At 38.2% G+C, this 24283-nt stretch overlaps 1 protein-coding gene across 7 annotated transcripts in view; it reads right to left on the bottom strand.

Annotated features, from left to right (window-relative positions):
* Window positions 1–24283, bottom strand: part of WDR64 (WD repeat domain 64) — a 150497-nt gene that overhangs the window by 8963 nt on the left and 117251 nt on the right. For 4 of the 7 annotated variants that reach the window (NM_001367482.1, XM_017000315.2, XM_011544086.4 and 1 more), the window contains 8 exons: window positions 23125–23194; window positions 22118–22154; window positions 20884–21023; window positions 18605–18710; window positions 13753–13811; window positions 10434–10543; window positions 5781–5966; window positions 3119–3224 (listed from right to left, as the gene is read on the bottom strand). In NM_001367482.1, the coding sequence (NP_001354411.1) occupies window positions 3119–3224; window positions 5781–5966; window positions 10434–10543; window positions 13753–13811; window positions 18605–18710; window positions 20884–21023; window positions 22118–22154; window positions 23125–23194 (814 nt within the window). Of the gene's footprint in view, window positions 1–3118; window positions 3225–5780; window positions 5967–10433; window positions 10544–13752; window positions 13812–18604; window positions 18711–20883; window positions 21024–22117; window positions 22155–22367; window positions 22484–23124; window positions 23195–24283 lie in introns of those variants that run through there. The other 3 variants (XM_011544087.3, XM_011544091.2, XM_011544092.3) reach the window with 3 other exon arrangements.

Raw genomic sequence — 24283 nt, 5'->3', positions numbered from 1 at the left:
GGAGCTAATGTTTATTGAGAAACTAAAATGTACCTGGTATGTATTTTCTCATTTAATTCTCACAAAAACCCTTTGAAGGATTTTCAAATGAGGAAAGAAAGAACGAACTTATCTAAAATTAAACCTAAGTCTGTTAGGCTCCACACCCTGTGGCTTCCCTCCTTAGCACCCTGTCTTCAGGGAAAAGAAGGTACCTGAGCTCCATTTGGACAGAAAGGTAAAGTTTTTGAAAATTGTTTCATTTGAAAAGAATTGAAGATTAAATATTTATTAAATATGAGGTAGATACTGTTAAAGAATAATGATATACTGAACATTCAGGACATACTGGACATTTGTGGATCTTCTGCCTGTTTTACAAATTGGAACAACACCCCCAACTTTGAAGGTAGATACTGTTAAAGAATAATGACATACTGAACATTCAGTGGACACTTGTGGATCTGCTGCCGTGTTTTACAAACTGGAACAACACCCCCAACTTTGAGCTCTGTATGTGAAGCTCTCCCTCACCTCACTCCTGCTCATCTACCCTCAGACATAAATAGCAATCCAGAATTTTGTGTTTTTAATTCTCTTGCTTTTGTTTATATAATTTTACCTTATACATGTTTCTTGCTCAAACAACATTTTGTTTTGTTTTGCCTATTTTTGACTGTTACATAAATGAAATTGTTATGGATATACTTATGCAAAATTGTTCTCATTCAATAGTTGCTTCAAACCATCATTCCTGTAGATGAGCGTTTCTCTCATTCATTTATTTTCACAGGTCTATAGTATTCCAGTTTATGAATATGTCATAATTGATTTGCCCATTATCCTGTTGATGAGCACTTAGGCTGCTTTCAGGGATTTGCTATTGCAAACTGCACTTCTCTGAGCATTCTCGTACCTGTCTCCTAAGGAGATGTTCAAGTTTCCCTAAGGTATACATTTAATAGGATAGGCCTATTTTCATCTTTACTAGATAATGCCACATTACTTTCCACAGTGGTTCTACCAATTTACACCACTACCATCAGCAGATTAGTGTTCTGATTGTGCCACAAAACACCAACCCTTGATATTTTCAGACTTTTTGGTATTTGTCAATCTGGCTTCTGTGGAGGAAGGGCTCCTATGGAGTCCTCCTCTGCCATCTTGCTCAGCCACTTTATTTTAAACCATTTTGTGGAATCGTCTCTTTTTTCCTCACTGATTTTAGGAGTTCTTTCCATATCCTGTATACTGACCTTTGTTAATTTTTATTTTATTTTTATTTATTTATTTATTTTTTGAGACAGAGTCTCACTCTGTCGCCAAGGTTGGAGTGCAGTGGCACGATCTCAGCTTACTGCAACCTCCATCTCCTGGGTTCAAGAGATTCTCCTGCCTCAGCCTCCTGAGTAGCTGGGACTACAGGTGCACACCACCACGTCCCACTGATTTTTTGTATTTTTAGTAGAGACAGGGTTTCACCATGTTAGTCAGGATGGTCTCGATCTCCTGACCTCGTGATCTGCCCACCTCGGCCTCCCACAATGCTGGGATTACAGGCGTGAGCCACCGCACCCGGCCCCTGTATACTAACCTTCCTATGTATTACAAAGGTAGGGTGGACTTGGACAGATGGAAGAGGTTATAGATATGGCAAGGACATCCCGGGGAACTAAATTGTAGGGCAGAAGACAGACAGGAATGCTCAGGAAACAGTAATTAGTGTGATTTGTAGAGGGTGGGGTAACTGTAGGTTGGTAATGGGAGATACATTTAGAAAGGTTCTTTTGGTTTATTTTGTGGAAAACCTTGAGGAAATCAATTTTATTAATGCTAGACCTTAGCTTAAAGAATCATTTTATATCTGTTCTCTAGAAGTGTTAAAATTAGAAATAGAATGAACAGCAGTACACTTTTCTCTCTTAATTCTGCACTGAAGAAAAACATGTCTGTCTGTGAAAGGTAGAAGAACAGCTACCAAAGATGTCCACATCCTTTTCTCCTACTTCCTAACTTGTGAATATATTGCTTTACTTGGCGAAAGAGACTTTGCAGATATGATTCATGTTAAGAACCTTGAGACAAGCATATTATGCTGTGTTATCTAGATAAGCCAAGTCTAATCACTTTAATCTTTCGTTGTTTTTTCTTTTTTTTTTTCCCCCAGACAGGGTCTCACTCTTTCGCCCAAGCTAGAGTGAAGTGGTGGGATCATAGCTCACTGTAACCTCAAATTCCTGGGCTCAAGGGGTCCTCCCACCTCAGCCTCCCAACTAGCTAGGACGACAGGTGGACTGTCACCATGCCCCGCTACTTTTAAAACAATTTTTTAATAGAGACATAGTCTCACTATGTTGCCTAGACTGGTCTTGAACTCCTGGACTCTAGGGATCTTTCCACCTTGATCTCCCAATGTGATGGGTTTACAGGCCACTGTGCCCGGCCCACATAAATATTTAAAAGCAGATAATTTTTCATGCTGGGTCAGAGGGCTGTGTGACCACATGGTCAGAGAGGGGACAAATTTCTGGCTTTTTGTTTGTTTTTTTTGAGAGGGAGTCTCGCTATGTTGCCAAGGCTGGAGTGCAGCGGCACGATCTCAGCTCACTGCAACCCCTGCCTCCTGGGTTCAAGCGATTCTCATGCCTCAGCCTCCTGAGTAGCTGGGACTACAGGCGCTTATCACCATGCCTGGCAGATTTTTTACTTTTAATAGAGATGGAGTTTCGCCATGTTGATCAGGCTGGTCTCAAACTCCTGACCTCAGGTGATCCACACACCTCGGCCTCCCAAAAGTTCTGAGATTACAGAGGTAAGCCACCATGTCTGGCCCATTGCTGGCTTTGAAGATGAAGGAAGGGAGCCACAAAGCTAAGGAATACGGTCTTCTCTCTTACAACCTTCAGAAAGAAACTCAGCTCAGGTGACACCTCAGTATAGCCCCCATGTAGAACTTTTGGCCTCCAAAATTGGGAGATAATTAATTTGTATTGTTTAAGCCACCAAGTTTATAGTAATTTGTAATACCATCAATAAAAAATTAATATGTTATATTACTGGACATATTTGAATTCAGAAAAACAAAAGCAAAGGTTTTGTTGTTGTTGCCATTTCTTTTTTTTTTTTTTTTTTAAGCTACCTTAGGAGAAGAAAGAGACTTGAAAAACTTGAAATCCTGTTCCACTTCAAAGGCCTTGGGAGGTGTGCGTTTGAAAAGTAGAGACACTGAGCTCATTTTTCTCCATCTGCATATAAAGATACAAGAATAAGTACATACCCATACCTTTTATTCTCTGCCAACTAAACAAAGATCCATTATGTCCTTCTCTGGTGCCCACATTTCTTGGTTCCTATGGCATCAGTCCCAATGACAGTATCTCTACACTCAACTCTTATACCAGTTGGTTTCCCAAATATTCCTCTATAGAAACCACAGCAACTCCTACTCAACCAGAACATTCCATTTATTTATTTTTATATTTTTTGAGACAGGGTCTCGCTCTGTCACCCAGTATGGAGTGTAGTAGTGCAATCTCGGCTCACTGCAACCTCTGCCTCCCAGGTTCAAGCAATTCTTGTGCCTCAGCCTCCCAAGTAGCTGGGATTACAGGTGCACGTCACCACGCCCGGCTAATTTTTATATTTTTAGTAAAGATGGGGTTTCGCCATGTTGGCCAGGCTGGTCTCGAACTCCTGACCTCAAGTGATCTGCCTGCCTCAGCCTCCTAAAGTGCTGGGATTACAGGCCTGAGCCACCATGACCGGCCATTTCATGTATTTAAATTCACTAATAGCCCTTGGGGAGTGGGAGGGGAAACTCTATATTAGGAACTAGGAAACCGCTTTTACAAGACCAGTGCTTGACTTCCATATGATTCAAGGAGGCTTCCCTTATAGTCAAAACTTAATTATGTATATATTTAGAAAGTCATAACTATTTTTTTTAACTTTTATTTAAGTTCAGTGGTACATGTGCAGGTTTGTTATTTCGGTAAACTTGTGTCATGGGGGTTTGTTACACAGATATTTCATCACCCAGGTATTAAGTCTAGTACCCATTAATTATTTTTCCTGATCCTCTCCCTCCTCCCACCCTCCACCCTCAAGTAGGCCCCAGTGTAGTGTATGTTGTTCCCCTCTGTGTGTCCACTTGTTCTCATCATTTAGCTCCCACTTATAAGTGAGAACATGCAGTATTAGGTTTTCTGTTCCTGCATTAGTTTGCTAAGGATAATAGCCTCCAGCTCCATTCATGTTCCTGCAAAGGATATGATCTCATTCTTTTTTATGGGTGCATAGTATTTCGTGGTGTATATGTACCACACTTTCTTTATCCAGTCTACCACTGATGCATACCTAGGTTGATTCCATGTCTTTGCTATTGTGAATAGTGCTGCAATGAACATACACATGCATGTATCTTTTTAGTAGAATGATTTATATTCCTTTGGATACATACCAAGTAATGAGATTGCTGGGTTGAATGATATTTCTGTTTAACATTTTCAAAAGACAAGAAATACTATGTCCTGAGATGAAGTCATTCTACAGAAGAAGGCCCATTTTGCTACAGATAAGCCATAATTATTGAGCAATAACAACATAACATGAGCACGTGTCCTACGCTAAAGCTGTCCTGTATGTACCATGCCCTTTCATGCTTCTGTGTCTACCATTCACATCTGCTCCCTCTGCTTGTGATATTCTCCATTAGTCATTCTTTATTAGTTCCATAAATATCTTTTGAGTGCCTGCTGTGTGGTGAGCACTGAGCTATGAACTGTTTTATACAAAGATGTATAAAACAAGGTCCTGGTCTTCAAGGAACTCACAGTATAGAGAAGAAGATGCATATGGACAAATTAGAATCCTGTCTTAAGTACTAGGATATATGAACATTCAAGGCTAAGCAATTGCCCAAAGTAAAACTGAGAAACTTTGCTTGGTAAACTTTACTGCATCTTGAAGCTTGGCTTACTACACCACCTCTTCCATCTCAGCCAGCCTCTTCTCCAGTGCTCCTTACTGGCCAGCCAAAGTAGTCCTTGAACACTCTGATGGGGTCACCTGGAACCCTTCTTGATTGTTTTCAAATTGTTCCTGCTTTGATCCAAATCCTGTGTGGCTTCTGATTTTTAGCTTCAATTCCTATTTAGAACCCTTCTACCATCTTTTGAATTAGGTAATGACATTGGGTCTTTCCAGCCTTGAGTGCACTTGGGATTTCCCTGAAGGACTTTACTTTTGATATCCCTCTCTGATTCTTTCCATTTGGACTCATCTTCCGTGGCTCCCTTAGTGCTGGTCTGTGAGATGTAACCAGTCCAGGCAGGTCTGGTCCCCTGAAGGCTGGACATTTTGACATTCACCATCTAGGGTTGAGCTGCACTGATATTGAAAACTCAAGAGTACTGATCTTTTCCATTATGACAAAGGATGTCTAAAACCAGGATTGAAGATTGTAAAAGTGGAAAATAGCTTCTCTCTCACATTCTGTACTCTATCCTTCCTCCCCTATGCCTTTAAGCATGGTCAAATTTCCCCCACTAACAAGTTATTGCACCTTTGGTCTTCTTTGGTTAAATCCTATTTGCCCTTCTGTTACTGTCTTAAGAATCAGATGTTCCCAGAAGTACTACCAATTATAGCTTTGTTTACATACATTTCCCTTCCACTGGATTACAAAATTATTGAAAAGTTCTGGACCTCTTGCCTTGAATTCTCCATCTCAAGGACAGTGCCACAGCATCTCAACAGTTTGATTCTTGTATGCTTATCTAAAGAAGAGCTAATGGTCTTACTTTTCCCGGTCAAATATCAGAGGATATTCATATTTTTGCTTCTCTGTGAACTTGCTTTCTTCTTTTATTTCTATGGGATATTCAGTAACATCACAAGGCAAAATGAAATCTCTTGTCTGTGATAATTCAAAGAGCCTTCGCTGTCCAAAATATCCACAATAATGTCCATTGAGGGCATGCCAGAGCCTGAGGGAAGGAAAAGGAAGGGAGGAAAAAGTAACTGGAAAATTTGGTCAAAGTTATTCTGTTCATTAGATCGTTTATGTAAATTAGCGCTGGTCCATCAAGGATTTTTTTACTTGGGTTCAAGACCCTTTCTATGAAATACTGTGGAGCTAATCATAATGTAAACTTTTTTTTTTTTTTTTTGAGATGGAGTTTTGCTCTTGTTGCCCAGGCTAGAGTGCAATGGCATGATCTCGACTCACTGCAACCTCTGCCTCCTAGGTTCAAGTGATTCTCCTGCCTCAGCTTCCCGAGTAGCTGAGATTACAGAAGCCCACCACCATACTTGGCTAATTCTTGTATTTTTAGTAGAGACGGGGTTTCACCACTTTGGCCAGGCTGGTCTTGAACTCCTGACCTTATGTGATCTGCCCGCCTTGGCCTCCCAAACTGCTGGGATTATAGGCATGAGCCACCATGTCCGGCCAACATTTTTTTTTTTTTTTTTTGAGGAGTCTCGCTCTGTCGCCCAGGCTGTAGTGCAGTGGTGCCATCTCGGCTCACTGCAAGCTCCGCCTCCTGGGTTCATGCCATTCTCCTGCCTCAGCCTCCCGAGTAGCTGGGACTACAGGCGTCCACCACCATGCCCAGCTACTTTTTTTTTTTTTTTTGTATTTTTAGTAGAGATGGGGTTTCACCGTGTTAGCCAGGATGGTCTCAATCTCCTGACCTCGTGATCCACCCGCCTCGGGCTCCCAAAGTGCTGGGATTACAGGTGTGAGCCACCGTGCCTGGCCTCCAGCCAACATTTTTATCAGTTAGACTGTAGTCTGCAAACTTTTTGGGAAATATTAGTTTGAATCTGTACTTATGACACCCATTTGTCAAAGCCAGAAAACAAATGGGCAGTGTTATTTCAGGATAATAAAACTGCATTTGGTTGCTAAGGGTAATGGCCTCTAGCTCCATCCATGTCCCTGCAAGAGACATGATCTTGTTCTTTTTTATGGCTGCTTAGTATTCCATGTTGTGTGTATACCACATTTGCTTTCTTTCTATTTTCTTTTGGGAAAATAACACTGCCCGTTCAAGCTAATCAGAACACTTGTTAACTAACAGTGTATTCATTGAATTAGGCCTTAGAATGGGCTGTATCTCAGCTGGCTACTTTTCAAATCAGCATCAACCAAACTTAAGGGAGGAGGGATCTCATGCTGCTTTTACTATTATCAAATTCTCCTCAACCTCCATCCACAGCTGCTACTATTGTGCAAATACCCTGCTAATTTTTACAACTGAGTTCTGAAAGAGGATGGCAAGAGAAGGGACTCGTTATCCATATGCCTTGTTTCACTATCACTTCACTCCAAGAGGTCCCTCTAAATAGCCCATGTGGTTTAAAGTAATACAGAGTATTATTAGCAGGAGTGTGTGCCCTAGGCCATATGGGAACATAAAATAGTATTTGGAAGATCTTCCTTTTATTTATTGATTTCAACCTCAGAGTGGCAAATGATGGCAATCATCATCATGAGCCCTGCAGCAATGACCTAAAAGGAGGAGGGCAAGCAAGCTAAAGAAACTAAGAGTAGATTCTGCAAAGTCTGAATAGCCTCCCACCTCAGAGAGGTAGATGTTGAGAAGGAGGCAGAAACAGAGGTATCTATTTGGGACTTCTCCCACTTGACAGTGTCCTGGGGAATTAACATGAGCATCTTCTATCCCTTCCATGTATTAATTCTCCAGCATTATAAAAATGTCATGGCCTGGCCAGAACCTTTACCAAAGAGAAATAGACCAGCCCTTTAATAGTAAAATTTAGAAGGGTGAGGGGCTAACTTCGGAACAATTCTAAATTTATTCTGCTTTAGGCAGGACTGAAGAGACTGTAGTCTCCTTGTTTCCTGCTATGCATGGAGCTCTCCCAAATAACTAATCCTGCTTCCCAGCTTGATTTCCTGGGCCTCAGATACAGAACCTTAGCTACCTTGAGCCCCACTTTGCCTCCCTGAACTTCTGTCTACAGACTGATCACCTGTCCTGCATCCCAGAGTTCAGCCTCAATTATGTTTGTTTCATATTTAAAAATCTCATCTTTTTGACAAGCAAGATTTAGAACGTTGAAACTGCCTAACTCTTTAGAGAGTGGCAGTGAGTATTAGCAAAGGGACATGGCTTGGTTATGAAGACAGTTGTGTTCTGAGGTAGCTATTAATAGATGTAAGCACTTTGAACTGAGTATCTAGGGAGATTTTCACTGTAAGAAATCATAAAATTAATTTCTCCATGCCAAGGATAACTGGAGTGAGCAGTGCTATGGCGTGAATGTTTTTGTCCACCTGCCAAATTCATATGTTGAAACTTAATCCCCGAAGTGGTGATATTGATGTGAAATGGGACATGCTTAGGTCACAAGGGCTCAGTCTTCATGAATGGAATTAGTGTCTTTTAAAAAGAGGCCCGAGGGAGCTTGTTTGCCTCTTTCACCATGTAAGGACACAGCTAGAGGGCATCATTTATGAAGCAGAGAGCAAGACCTCAGTAGACGCTGAATCTGCCAGCGCCTTGATCTTGCACATCCCAGACTTCAGAACAGTGAGCAATAAATTTCTGTTGTTTATAAATTACCCAGTCTAAGGTATTTTGTTACAGCTGCCTGAACAGACCAAGACAAGCAAGGAATACCTTACAACAACAGTGGCATGTACATATGTGGTTGTGCCATGTGTGTGCGTCTGTGTGTGTGTTACAAACTCAAATGAACACTTCTGCTCATAGGTAGCTGAAAATAAGCTGGAGCAGAGACCAAGGGACTGAGTTGTTAAAAACATCTATAATAATGACATTTAATGTTCTTACTCTTTCCTGCAAATAAAACAGCAGATGTCCTTTCTTTTTTTTTTTTTTTTTTTTTTTCAGACAGAGTCTCACTCTGTCGCCCAGGCTGGAGTGCAGTGGCGTGATCTCGGCTCACTACAATCTCCGCCTCCCAGGTTCAAGTGATTCTTTTGCCTCAGCCTCCCAAGTAGCTGGGATTACAGGCTCATGCCACCACGCCCGGCTAATTTTTGTATTCGCAGTAGAGACAGGGTTTCACCATGTTGGTTAGGCTGGTCTCCAACTCCTGACCTCGTGATCCACCCGCCTCGGCCTCCCAAAGTGCTGGGATTACAGGCGTGAGCCACCACACCCAGCCCAGATGTCCTTTCTTACAGAGGAAGTAACTCTGACCTTTTGCCTCCAAATAGGACCTTACTCCCAAAGATTCATCTTGAATTCAACGTTCTAAAGCTCTTTATCCTTCCACATTCTAAACATTTTCCTCTTTTAGAGCCCTGTATCTTAATGAGTGGTTCTAACATTCACCTAGTTGCATAAACCAGGTGTCATTCTTGACATTTATCACTTACCTCCCCTTTGAGTTAAAGTTCACGTCTTCTTGATTTTGCCTTCTGGATAGCTATCATCAAATCTAAACCACTTATTTCCAGGCTGTTACCACTCCTCTAATCCAAGCCACTACATTCACCCTGGACTTCAAACCGGTCTCTTTGCTCCCACTTTTGCTGCCCTGCAATCTATTCCCCACCCATTACCTTCCAAAAATATAAATCAGGTCATATTACTCCCCCACGTAAAATTCTGTGCAGTGGCTATTTCTTTCAGGGGAAGGATCCAAATTCTTACCAGTGCCTCCTGGACACTGTGTGGCTTTGGTCTGTCTAACTCACTAGCCTCAAGCCCACACAGTTAGCTAGGCTGTCTTGAATTTCAGTCCAGCAACTTTTATGCAGCATAAAATATTCCTTCCTTTTGGTTTTGATTCCATTGAAATTCCCTAATATACTTCAAAGCCTCTCTACCTCTCTTAATCTTACCTAACTTCATTCTTTTAAGCGGATAATTCATTACCATGATTTTAAGACATTTCAATATGCAGAAATTTGTTTCTAGAAATGCCATGACATTTCCTTTCTTTCTCTTTATATGTGTATGTGTCTTTAGCATTTTGTGTATAGGTACTTAGCATTATCTAGGTAATTGATAACAATAGGCTTTGCAAAATCCATCACAGAGTCAATGACATAATTAGCTTACCCACTTTTCTCAGCATCAATTGCTCTTTTCTATTACTTTTCTATGACTTCTGATTCTGAGCCCCCCTCTATGACTTGGGTCTAACTCTCCGAGATAGCTATCTTGCTTAATTCTTTGAAGTAATTCTACAAAAAAAACTTCACTTTTATCAAAAGCATTTGTGATACCTTTTAATATAGATGAATGTGACATCTCATGTCCTTGGTCATGAAAGAGAACTCCAAATCAGTGGCCATCTTTTCAAAGTCCTTTTGTGTCATCTATTTACTTATTTATTTAAATCAGTTTACCAAGATTGCATTTGAACTATATACTTCAACTTTAGCTTAAAATCCTTTACCTCTCATGCTCACAGTACTGAATTCACAGTATGATGCCATCTTGGCCTACCTTACTGAGCCATCGATGGAGGCAGTAAGTACCACTTGTTTTTCTTCTACATAGATTACTTGAATAATTTCCAAAGAATGAGCACGCCAGGAAAGCAGCTGCTTGAATTTCTAGATAGCAAAAACAAGGCATATTCCTCGGAATAACTATATGCTAGTAAAAATGTAATCTTCAACAAAATCATTTCTCATTGAGCCAAGCTTATGAGTGGAAGATGTAGACATCTGTGCTAGATGATTAAGTCCTTGCCCCCAATTAGCTCTTCTCTTGCTTGTTGGGGTACAAGAAGTCCTGTTTTTAAAGACTTATTAATTCATACATCTCCCTGGGAGAGGAAGTATCTTATGTCTCTGGCAATTTATCATGTAACTGAGAATTAGCGATTCATTTAATTGATGATTAGCAGATGACTAGAGGAAAGAGATGCTTTAGGAGAAGGTTGGAGGGGGACTGAAAGTAAATATAATCAAGAATAGAAGGAAACAGAGCTGGAAGGTAAAAGCTAAAGGGGAGATTGGCAAAAAGACTTTTCCTGTGTTCAGATTTTATCTAGAGATAGAACTGGCTGTTTTGTTCTTTTGGGGGGAGTATGGGGTGGGAGATACATGCTATAAGTAGTTGATGAAAAGAATAAAACTCAGCTTCATTCTCTTTCAAAAACATCATGAATCATCTGTCACAGGAGTAGAAAAGAAAAAAATCATGAGGCTTCATTGTTTATGTTTCTTCAGGGTGTGGCTATCCTCAAGTTTAGGGCCTCTCGTGGGCCTCGGGAGACCTTCCTGAATTGTGTGAACTAGAGTTGTTAAGTGGAGAGCTTGCTCTGCACTCACACCCCCTGTGAGTATATTCCCTCTTTATCACTGATAAACCCGGACTGACACCTTACTTTGTCCTGGGTCATTTACCTAGAAGTGTAATGTGATGACAGTCCTGGCAGTTTAGAGTTCTCCTGCGAGTCTTCTATTTATTTAGGCTTTAACAAAGGGTAGGCGCAATTCCGCCTAAATTTGTTGGCCTTCTGACTCAATTCCCTCTGGTTATTTTTAGAGAGCCAAAGTAAAATCTGGACTCCTAGTTCTTTTTTCTTCTTTTGAGACAGAGTCTCGCTCTGTTGCCAGGCTGCAGTGCGGTGGCGCGATCTCGGCTCACTGCAACCTCTGCCTCCTGGCTTCAGGTGATTCTCCTGCCTCAGCCTCCCGAGTAGCTGTGACTACCGGCACGTGCCGCCACGCCCAGCTAATTTTTTTTGTATTTTTAGTAGAGACGGGGTTTCACCATGTTGGCCAGGATGGTCTTAATTTCTTGACCTCGTGATCTGCCTGCCTCAGCCTCCCAAAGTGCTGGGATTACAGGCGTGAGCCACCGTGTCTGGCCTACTTCTTATTGTCTCAAAGCTATTCAAGAATATCTGGTCATCCAAGGTTTCTTTCTCTGCCTTAGGATGGCATTCTCTAACACTGACTGTATTTATAGTAAGATATACATTTTGCTTCATGACTCCATGAACATATACATATACTTGCACATGTGTCTGAAACAAGTTTCACAAAAGGATACTTCACCTATGTGAAATGTACATCAATATGATCTATTCTGTTCTACTGCATTGCATTCCATTCTCTTCTATTTTTATAAAAATACTGGTTACAACTAATTTAATTGATTTCATGACCCCTTAATGGATTGAAATCCGCAATTAGAAACTAAGATTGTCCTTTCTGTATGTGTGTATATGTAATTATATGTGTGGTCTCTCTTTCTGTGGAGAGGTTTCGACTTATCTTTCAGAATGTCTGTATACCATGGAACTTCTTTTTTATCAGTAATATCGGGAGAGAACAAGATTAACCTTTTTTTCTAGACTGACCTATTAGGTATTCATTGCAGTTGTAATCTATAGCCGGACCTGGTTTAAGCATTGGTATTTGTTGATCTATGTAATAATGAGGCATTTTATAGCCAGGTTCTATGGTTCTGTTGTATATTTATAAATAGGCAGCCATGTACAAATGGTATGATTCCATTGTCTGAGTACAGAAAAGGTTGAAATGAAGTTGAATATGAAAGAATTTAAAATAAGTTACTAAAGATTCTCTAATTTTAAATTTGTGAAAATGCTTTAAAATTATTTCTACTAATTTTGTAACTCAATATTATTCTATAACTTTGTTTTGAAGATTTTCTCTAAAGTTTGAAAGATCTCAGTTGTTAGTTTATAGCAATTCCATTTGCGAAACTGTAGGCTTTGAATGACATTTTATCTGTTAAAATTAATAATACAATATAATAATCATCAGCAGTAGGATAAAACAATTACATAACTTTTCACCTATATATGGTTCAAGCATACGGTTTGTTTTTGTTCAGCTTGCAGCATGTCTTCGTTACAAGCAATTTATAGTTACTGGTAAATGAAACTTCGTGTTTCTCAAGTTGTTTGAACCTTGCTGTTTTTCATTTGTTAGCATAAGTATTATATACGGAAAGAGTATTGGATTAGCAATCAGAACCCCGACCCTGGCCCTGACTTCATCACTGTCTATGTGCTCCTTGGCAAGCTATTCTCTGATTTACCCTCTGCAGGTGGAGATAGTCAAACTAAAGTTGAATACCGAAACCTTAAAAGAGTTAGAATAGATTCTCTGAAACAAAAAGAAAACTCCACTAATCAAATGAAACAATATTTGAAACAATAACTATTCTGAGACACTCTGCAAGGAATCAAATCCTAATCAACATAAACCCCTTGTTAATACTTGTGATCCAAAAAAAAGTATCTATTTAAGCTAATATTTAGCTTTTGATTTGATGTGTTAAAGAAAAATAGGGCTATGCTAAAATAGCTGTTCCTTGGTATAATATTTTAAAAAATAGAATAAAATGTGCTTTAATGTTAGGAAGAATTTAGACTAGAAATAAGAAAAAAATTCTTAAATGGTTCTGCACTAGGTTTGCAAGGAAGGTTATGGAATATCTTATAAAGGATAAGATATAGAAACTGACTGTGGAGGACTGTATAATCTATGAACTTTTTCTAACTCTGGGTTGCTATATGAATTCTCACAAATAAGTCAAAACATGAAGACGATGCAAAGTGACCAGTGGCTGGCATACTTACTCCCTCTCCCTCACTTACTTCTTGATCCCTTTTCACCAGCAGACCACTGCAATTTGTCATGTAGCTCAAATTTCAATAGTATATGTGCCTTGACAACAGAGAGTCTTGTATTTCTATCCTTTATGGTGTCTAGCACAGAGAAATGCTCAATAAATATATGCTGACTCATAAATTAAAGTGGAAAACTGAAGTTCTTACCTTTTCATCATGAGGTGGATCCAGGAAAGAGCTAATATTGCAAAGGATAACATGTCCTTCTGTATAAAATTTAAACATTGGAATCTTTAATTAGATATCATGTTATCTAAATCAATACTATCCAAAAGTTATTTTGATTTAGGTATTTATAATGCTGAATAAAACAGAACCTGAGAAAACAGAAATGAAAGCAGAAATTTCATATTCATTTTTATTTATTTATTTATTTATTTGAGATGGAGTCTCGCTTTGTAGCCCAGAATGGAGTGCAAAGGCATGATCTCAGCTCACTGCAACCTCTGCCTCCTGGGTTCAAGCAATTCTTCTGCCTCAGCCTCCTGAGTAGCTGGGATTACAGGTGCCTGCCACCACGCCCGGCTAATTTTTTTTTGTATTTTTAGTAGAGACAGGGTTTCACCATGTTGGACAAGCTGGTCTTGAACTCCTGACCTCAGATGATCCACCCGCCTTGGCCTCCTAAAGTGCTGGGATTACAGGCATGGGCCTCCACACCTGGCCCATATTCATTTTTATGTGTAGAAATTATTTTGTTTCTGTCTTGGTAAGTCTTAATGAGATTGCTTCACCCACTTAGAGTTCTTTTAGAGATCAGGGTAGTGGAAATGAATATACCACCAAACAGAGTCCAAACTCTTACAGAGATACTCAGCCTACAATTTAAATGATAGTTACAAAAACTACATATCAAAGAGCAACAATGACTACACCTCAACTTTTAAACTATTTAAACTGCAGGAAAACAAAGGTATAAAAAAGAGTCTTGAAAGAAGCCAGATGGAGGAAAAAAAAATGAACACAAACATAAGAATGACATCAAACTTCTTATCAAAAGCAACGCAAGCAAGAAGAGTGGAGTGAAATATTTAACATGTTGAGAGAAAAAACCGACCAACCTAGAATTCTGTACTTTGCAAAATTAACCTTCAAAAGTAAAGGAGAAATAAAGACTTTCTCAGACAAACAAAAATTGAGATAATTTGTCACTAATAGGCCTGCCTTTCAAGAAATGTTAAAAGAAGTTCAGAAAAAAGAAAAATGATATAGGTTTAAAAAAACTCATATCTACATAAGGAAACTAAGAAGACAAGGAATAAGCAAAGATAAAATAAAAACTTTATTTTTGTTAATTGATCTACCGGATAATGGTTTGTTAAAAATAATGATAGCAACAATGTATTTGATAATTATAACTCATAAATACTTGAAATGAATGATAGTAATTATACAGGAGATAAAAGAGAGACATTAGGAATACTTTGGTATTATAAGATACAAAGTGGCATAATATTACTTGAAAATAGGCACAGGCTAATTGTGAATATATATTATTAACTCTAGGGCAACCACTAAAAAATGTTTAAAAGGAAGTATAATAAATATGCTAAGAAAGGAGAGAAGATAGAATCACACAAAATGCTCAATTAAAATTGCAAAAGGCAGAAAAAGACTGGAAGACAAAAACAGGAATAAAGAGCCAGGGCAACAAATTAAGAATAGTAACAAATATGGTAGATACTAATTCAACTATGTCAATAATCAATTACTTTAGATGCCAACAATCTAAATACACCAGTTAAAACAAAGAGAGTGTCAGAGTGAATTTAAAAACATGAGCCACTGTATGTTGTGTATAAAAACCTACTTTAAATATAGATACATATAGATTAAAAGCAAAGGAGTAGAAAAAGATATACCACGCTAACACTAATCAAAAGAAAGCAAGTGTAGCTGTATTAATTTCAGACAGAGCAGACTTCAGAGTGATAAAACTTATCAGGGATAAACAGAGGGCATTACCTAATGATAAAAGGGTCAATTCTCCAAGAAGATTTGACCATCCTTAATGTGTATGTCCCTAATAACAGATATCAAAATACTTATAGGACAGCAAGTTGAAATAGATGAATCCATTATTATAGTTATAGACTTCAACACCCCTCTATGAAAAATGGGCAGACCAAGCAGGCAGAAAATCATTAAGGATATAGTTCAGATCAATGGCACCATCAATAAACTGAATATAATTCACATCTATAGATTACTTCATACACACACATTCAGAACACACATTCCTCTGAAGATCATGTAGACATTCCCCAAGATAGATCATGTTCTGGGCCACAGAACGCACCTGAACAACTTTAAGAGACATCATACAATGTATGTTTTCAGACCACAATGGAATTAAAGTAGAAACCAGTAACAGAAAGACAACTGGAAAATCCCCAAGTACTTGGAGATTAGGTAGAATATTTATAAATTCTTTGGGTCAAAGAATAAATCTCAAGGGAAATTTAAAAGTATTTTGTATTAAATAAAGGTGAGGCCAAGCATGGTGGCTCATTCCTGTAATCCCAGCATGTTGGGAGGCTGAGGTGGGTGGATCACCTGAGGTCAGGAGTTCGAAACCAGCCTGGCCAACATGGTGAAACCCTGCCTCTAGTAAAAATACAAAAATTAGCTGGCCGTGGTGTCAGGTGCCTGTAATCCCAGCTACTTGGGAGGCTGAGGTGGGAAAATTGCTTGAACCTGGGAGGCGAAGATTGGGGTGAGCTGAGATTGTGCCACTGCACTCCAACCTGAGCAATAGAGCGAGACTCTGTTTTAATTAAAAAAAAAAAAAAGGTGAAATTACAACTTATCAAAATTTGTGGTATGCAGCGAGAGCATTGCTCACATGGAAACTTATAGCATTCAATGCATACATTAGAAAGGAAGAAAGATCTAAAATCAACAATCTAAGCTTCTACTTTAGGAAAATAGAAAAAGAAGTAAGACCTGTCTCTACAGGAAAAAAAAAGCATACACCTGTAGTCTTAGCTACTCAGGAGGCTGAGGTGGAAGGATCACTTGCAGGAGTTGGAGATTACAGTGAGCTATGAGCACACCACTGCACTCCAGCCTGGGCCACAGAGTCAGACCTTGTCTCTCTTCTTTCTTTCTAAAGGCAACAACTAATGATGTAATGATGCCTGAGGGTGTCTGATTTAATCTAGTGAATAGATAGCAGCCCTCAAAGAAGTTCTTTTAACATCTACTGAGGCAGAGAAAAAGGAAGCCTAATAGAATCTAGGAGCAGTCCACTTTAGTTATAATGTAGATGAGGATAGATTGGATCCCAAACCCACTCTATTTTCTGGATCACAAACAGAAACCACAAATTTCAGGATGAGAATGGGCTATATGATAGTAAAGTATTCTAGGCATAGGCAAAGAGAGGACTAACCCTAATAGAGGTCGGTGCTGGGAATTCTATAGTTTCAAATTTTAGTTCTCTGTATTTGTCAGAAAAGGCTTGCCACATACTAGGCAAAGTTAATGCAAGAATAAGCAGGCTATTTTTAGAAAGCAACAAAATTTGACTGATCTTAACTTTCTCTACAAGTTTTCTGTAAAAAGAATTAGTGTCTATATAAATTATACAGATTGATAGATAAGCGAAAATCAGAAGTATAAGAATATCCTAATGTAAAAGGATTGGTGGTAAGCAAAAAACAAACAAAACCCAAAAAACTCCAGGAAAAACAGGGATAACCTTAAATAAATGTAAATTTATTTATAATGCTATATACAAATATAGACAATTATTATCAATAAGGTCCAGACGACTCAATTGACAGTACGAAATGGTTTGTTGTAACTTTTTTATAAAATAAATTTTGAGGCTGGGCATGGTGGCTCATGCCTGTAATCCCAGTGCTTTGGGAAGCTGAGGTGGGCAGATCACACGAGGTCAGGAGTTCAAGACCAGCCTGGCCAACATAGCAAAACCCCATCTCTACTAAAAATACAAAAATTAGCTGGGCGTGGTGGTGCATGCCTGTAGTCCCAGCTACTCGGGAGGCTGAGGCAGAAGAATTGCTTGAACCTAGGAGGCAGAGGTTGCAGTGAGCCAGGATTGCACTACTGCACTCCAGCCTGGGCAACAGGGATAGACTCTGTCTCAAATTTAAAAAAGAAAAAAAAATTAAAACAAATTTTGAAATGAGAAAAATGTTTATAAAAGAGAATATGAAAACTTAAGTATGAAAATTAAGTAAATTTGAAATGTAAGCATTTAAGCAGATTTAATCTAGATGCAAATCTTACAGTTGCATTAGCAAAACAACAACAAGCAAAGGGGTAGATATGGAGAAAAGAGAAAGTGAAAGGGGGCTAAGCTTTTTGTTTTAACTGAAAATATGCTGTTTTATTCTAATTCTAACTAATTGTTTTGACAAACTTGAAGATAAACACTAGTAAAATAAAACTTTTTACACATGCATGTGCATTCACATACACACATAATCTTTCAAAGTATAGGAGAAAGGAAAGCAAAGAAAATTTAGGATTAATTCAGACGACAGAAGAGAAGCATAAAGGAAGAATGGAAGAAAGAATTTTGTTAGAAAGACTGACCATATTAATTATAATAAATATAAAAAATAAAGTCCCCTACTGAGAAAAAATCATTCATTTTTTTTCTCTAATTTATGGCATGATTTCCTTTAATAATTAAGATTAATGCAACATACACTTTCAATGTGAAAAATTAAAACTATATTTTTTCCAAAAAAGTAAGATACACAGATGGGTAGACACATACACATTTTAAAGACAGAAGGAGGGCAATGCCTTGCCCTAAGTGAAGAGCTAGGAATGAAGCAGGTTCTCCTGACACTCATTTATTCTGTTTATTCAGCAGGCTATTTATAACACTTTCTCAGGCTTGAGCATACCTCTTAGTCTCTCTTTTGTTTCACCATATACCATGTATTTTTCCTAAAGCCATTTTTATATCAGGTAAGCTATTAAGACACCTGTCACTGAATGTCTAAGAGTAATGACTCACCCACATTTCCAGCCAGTAGTATCCTCGTACATGAATCAGTATACAGCGATGTCAGAGAAATGGCAGAATGTTTTGTGAAAGGTAGCATATCTTTCAGTAGTCTTCCCTAAATAAAGTATAATGCAAATAAAACTTTTTCTTTGCTAGTAAGTCTTATAAAATCTTAATATTGAAATTGATTTTTCTATGTAAATAATGCATCTCAAGAATTATCTCTACTACTGAACCACGATTCCCCTGTTTGTAATGAAAATAATTTTAAACTATCCATAGGGACTTATTTCCTTGAAATTAAATATACTAAAGGTATGGACAACTGTTAATTAGAAGCATCTAGACTCTTGAGTATTATATACTGTTCTACACTTGGGATTGTTTTTGCATATCCCATGACCCTTTTCATGCAATTCCTCAGACTTTCTTTCCGATTACATATTTTCTTTTTATTTCTTTTTTTTAATTTAACTCAAACAGGCATTGACATATTTTCTTTTTAAACAAACATTTTTTTCAGAAGGGAGACACACTTTTAAGTGTATGTCAGTTGTTTTAAACAGAAATATTTGCCTCTTCAGAAATATTTATTTTTTAATACTGGTGCAAGACAAAGAATTGTTAAGAGATTTAAATTCAAACAGGTTGTTTTTCAGCGCTCAGTATAAGCCAGCACTGGGAAAGACTTTAACACGTATTATCTTGCTTAGAGAATAAACATCATCAACATCAAAGCTTGTGAAGAGTTTGAATTTGCTACTCCTTTCCTTAGACTGCTTGGACATAATCTCTTCTCCTCCTATTTCTTTTACTCTTTCATTTCTGTATTAGAAAGAAAAAGGGCATTGTTCTAATACCAAGATTATCTCAAGGAAAGTTATTATTAGAATACTTTGTATTTTCAAACCAGGGTTGTTTTCACGAATAAGCTAGGATCTACTGGTACACTTAGAGTTTTATCTGGCAGAAAGCCATGCGGTTCCGTGTTGTTGGATCCCATTATCTGCCACACAAAACTGTTTTGTGTTCTGAGTTTCTGTGTAGGAAGGAGCCTTATCACAAGCGAGGTCACCTCCTCTGTTTTTCTAAGGATTTCATTTTCTTCACCCTCAGGCTACTCAAGATCCTTCCTTTCATCATCTTCTGTCCTCTTAATTCCACCCTAAATCATTTTAAATCTTCTGGTAAATGAAAGTTGTGTTTTTCTTTGTGAAATATTGAAGAACACTCAATACGATGCAATACCTTCTTTCAACTGTTTGGTAAACTAACAATTTATTGTATACTCAACATTTCAGTGTTCTCACATTCTTTTACTCTAATACACCATTAATATCCTTTAATATTATTTAAATATCCAGTAAGATATTTAGTGGCATATATTTGTAGCTCAATTTAAAAGAAAGATTTGAATATTTTGAATGTATGAACCCATCAAAACTAATGCCCTCGGTCGGGCACAGTGGCTCACGCCTGTAATCGCAGCACTTTGGGAGGCCGAGGCTGGCGGATCACGAGGTCAGGAGTTTGAGACCAGCCTGGCCAACATGGTGAAACCCCGTCTCTACTAAAAATACAAAAATTAGCTGGGTGTGCTGGCACACGCCTATAGCCTCAGCTACTCGAAGGCCGAGGCAGAAGAATCGCTTGAACCGAGGGGTGGAGGTTGCGGTGAGCTGAGATCACGCCACTGCACTCCAGCCTGGGTGACAGAGAGAGACTCCATCTTAAAAAAACAAACAAACAAACAACTAATGCCCTCCTCTCCCCAAATAAAAGAATTATAAGCAGGCTCAATAGATTTTTCTAGTAAATCTTCATGCCGGATTCACCTTTCCTGCTTCTATTAGGGACATAAGGGATGAGACTGAAGCAGTGTGCCAAAGGTGAAGACCTTCCCAGAAATTCCAACTGTGAGGCTTGCATGACCAGTTGAACATTCTTTTCTCAATACGGGTATCTATCTGTATGCAGGTATCTATCCCAGTATGGGTATCTGTCTGTAATGTGTTTGATAGAAAAGTAGAAGAGCTTCCAAAAAGAGAGACATATTTGAAATAGCTAAGTTAGCAGTTTTGATGATTTGATCTTTTGAATTACAAAACCCTTCTCTCGTAAAGTTTGGATAGCGTTATCAATAAACAGGCTGCAAGATCAGCAATTTGGCTAGAAAGTTGAAAAAATATTATAATTGGATGCCATATGGAAGAACACTAAGATTCATTTAATGATTCTTTTTATCTTTCCCATTCTTTCCTATTCCCAGACTTGCTGGGTTCCATTACCTCCAGAGTCCACAAGCGGAGGTGTCCATCCTCATGAGCAGTGACAAGGATAGGTGGCTGGGCTTCTGGTAAATTGGCAATTCCAGGGTGTTTTTTGTCCATTGGCTGTTGCTTTCCCACCATTACATCTGTTTGTTCACCTATTCGAGAAATTAATGAACTATCATGAGGCCAGGCGTGGTGGCTCACACCTGTAATCCCAGCACTTTGGGAGGCCAAGGCAGGTGGATCACTTGAGGTCAGGAGTTCCAGATCAGCCTGGCCAACATGGTGAAACCCCGTCTCTACTAAAAATACAAAAATTAGCCAGGTGTGGTGGTGGGCGCCTGTAATCCCAGCTACTTGGGAGGCTGAGGCAGGAGAATTGCTTGAACCCAGGAGGCAGAGGTTGCAGTGAGCTGAGATGGCACTACTACACTCCAGCCTGGGGGACAGAGTGAAACTCTGTCTCAAAAAAAAAAAAAAAAAAAAAAAAAAAAAGGATCTATCTTGGAATTTGCAATACTTGGAATTCCAAATTTTTATGGAATGTAAAACACAAGGCAGACAAGAAAATAGCAAAAGCCACACATTATTTTTTCCTTTTCTTTTTTTTTTTTTTCACCCAGAGAATTTCAGTCAGGGCAAAGGACAGAAAAAACATTAAAAAATTGAATCCTGGATCACTGAAAAAATATAAAACGTTTATTTTGATCATATTGCAAAAGCTTCTATACTATACATAACAGCTCACACAAGGTATTTATTCATAAATCTTATACATACAGAATGGTGTATAAATGCAGTATAAGTTTTAGAAAAATGGCTAGAGACTAAGAAGTTCAGTAATATTCTGGATTCTTAAAACCTAGAATTAGTATTTAAGAAGGCATCATCATAATGAAAATTCTGCCATTTAGACTACTGAATCCCATAGCACCTCAATGTTTGGTTCCAAAAAGAATATATATATATATATATATATATATATATATATATATATATATGTATGTATGTATGTATATGTATGTATATATGTATATGTGTGTATGTATGTATATATGTATATGTGTGTGGGTATGTGTGTGTATATTATATATACGTATATAATGAATATATATGAATGTATATGAATATATATAATGAATTTATATATTAAGGAATATATATATTCATTAAGAATACTCTGTCACCTAAATGCCCTCTTGCAAAGGAGTTGCTTTATTATAAAGAAGAGAGGTGATTTCATACTGACCTTTAACCTCACTGTCATGTATGCTTTGCTTGCTTCCCTGAATTATGGGAGGAAAAGAGAAAAGACTTCCATGACATTGTAAGAAAATGAGATATACTGGGTGATTAAATTCTCCAGATAGTTGAATTTTCATTTCTAAGCATTACTTTTAAAATTATACTTTAATTTTTTTTTGAAAAAAATGTATTGCAGAGATTTTCATGTCCAGAAATAGAGAATTTATAACACAACATTCTTCTAGCAGTTGAGGTACCAGCATAATAACGAGAGTAATTAAAAATGCCTGATGCATGCTCGGTTCCTGGTTGACATGATCTCTAATTGTATTCACAACCATGCAACTTCATCTTTATTATTCCCTTTTTACTGAAACAGAAACAGAAACTCAGATTAAGTGGCAGCTCTAAAGCTAATCAGATAATAAAAGAAGGACTTGGGTTCAAGTACAATCTGTCTGGCTTTTGCTTCCATGTAAGTTTATTCTTTCCAGTATGCTGGTGATTTAAAAACAATTTTTGCAGTGACAACTTTCCTTCAAACACAGTTCTAACTAGAAATGTAAAGCATAAAAATATATAAAATTGGAACTGAGAACAGTTTGAAAACCACTGCATTACAGTACCTGCTGTCTCTTCTCCCTGTGACATATGTACTTTTTAGCAAAAGAGTACTTACATTTTAGCAAAAGAGATGGTCTAAAATTACTTACTTTTTAAGTATCAAAATAACATGCATAATTTATTTTATTTGTGATTGTATATTGATTATTCACAAATGCAAAAACTTTGAAAAAATATATAAAAATTGAAAAATATATAAAATTGAAAAAACAATTTAGACATTGCATTTTTTGCAAAACAATGCGTTTTTACATATAAGCATGCACACACAGAATTCTTCCACTGTTACCTTCTATCAAAGGAGGGGCTCAAATGTGCTCAATAGCACTATTTTTGAACCAACATTGAGTATGACAGGAAGACAGACCCTGTCTGTGTCTTGCTTACCTTACTGCTCTGTGGACCTTTGCTGGATTCACACTGGGATGAAGAACATATGGAATCCTGACTTGATCTCCTATAAGGGGAGTGGGGAAGCCCACAGGTAAAACTTTAAGATATGCTACCATACTCAAAGGGTGTGCTTCTCTGCTTTAATTTCAGCTGATTGCTTCTTTCATCATCTGTGGATACTGAGCCACTCAGGAAACAAATCATGCCTTATATTCTGTGTAATAAATGTTGACCAGTATGATATTGGTGGAGACTCTTGGGGAGCCTCAGCAAATAAGGTTTATTGCTCCCTTTGTCAGAAAATAAAAGTCTTGCCTATCCCACTGCAAAGGCTAGATTTAGTCCCAGAGGCTCTTACACTGAAATGGCAAGGGGTGGGGTGGTGGTGGGGGGACCTTACAAGCCTGTCTAACTTCCTGCTTGACAATGTCTAGTTCTCACCAGATCCTAGTCTGTGGCACTCCACTGAAACCGGCTGAAAAGTGGCTTAAGGTCTGGTGCAGATGTCTACAGAATAAGTCCTCAAAATATTCTCAGAACAGTTTTGATGAAATTTCATGCCAAGGGGTAGGGAAGGGGTTACATTCTGGCTCACCTCTGGGTGACCCCAAACCAGCACAGAAGCTTCTGATTTCTCTCCAAAGCTATGTGTGGCATTATCTATTGCCTGCAAACCAGAGCTCTTATGCAAATATAAATAGGAAAAAAGGGATTTTTTCTTAAATCCCTTGCTCTTTCAGAAATGGATGACAATTGCTCAGTTATAGTGGATGGTGGATGAAACCTCCTGCCATATGACCTTCCATACTTGCCTTGCAAGTCCTTCCTTCTGTTTCACACCTGTGTCAGATTTTGGCGAAAAGTAAAGCCAAGTGATCATTTTCCATCTCTGCTATGTGATAAAGGGTGCTGTGAGGCTGACATGGTGAGGGGACCACACAGCACTTTAAATCCCTGAGGAGAACCTCACCTCCAAAATGACAGTTATGGGAAGAAAGCGGAAGCCACGTGTCAACCCAACTGATGTCTTTTTTCAGTGGTCCCTTCTTTAATGCTGGGATGAAGTAAACTCTTTCTATTACTTTCAATGGCAAAAACCACAATTAATTTTGCATCAACCTAATGTATCAGCCACCTAAGTCCCAGACAGTAT

Source organism: Homo sapiens, chromosome 1 (assembly GCF_000001405.40).
Source record: "Homo sapiens chromosome 1, GRCh38.p14 Primary Assembly".
NCBI classification, from domain to species: Eukaryota; Metazoa; Chordata; class Mammalia; order Primates; family Hominidae; genus Homo; species Homo sapiens.
Note: the sequence above shows the minus strand (reverse complement) of the source record. Positions and strands in the feature narration are given on the sequence as shown.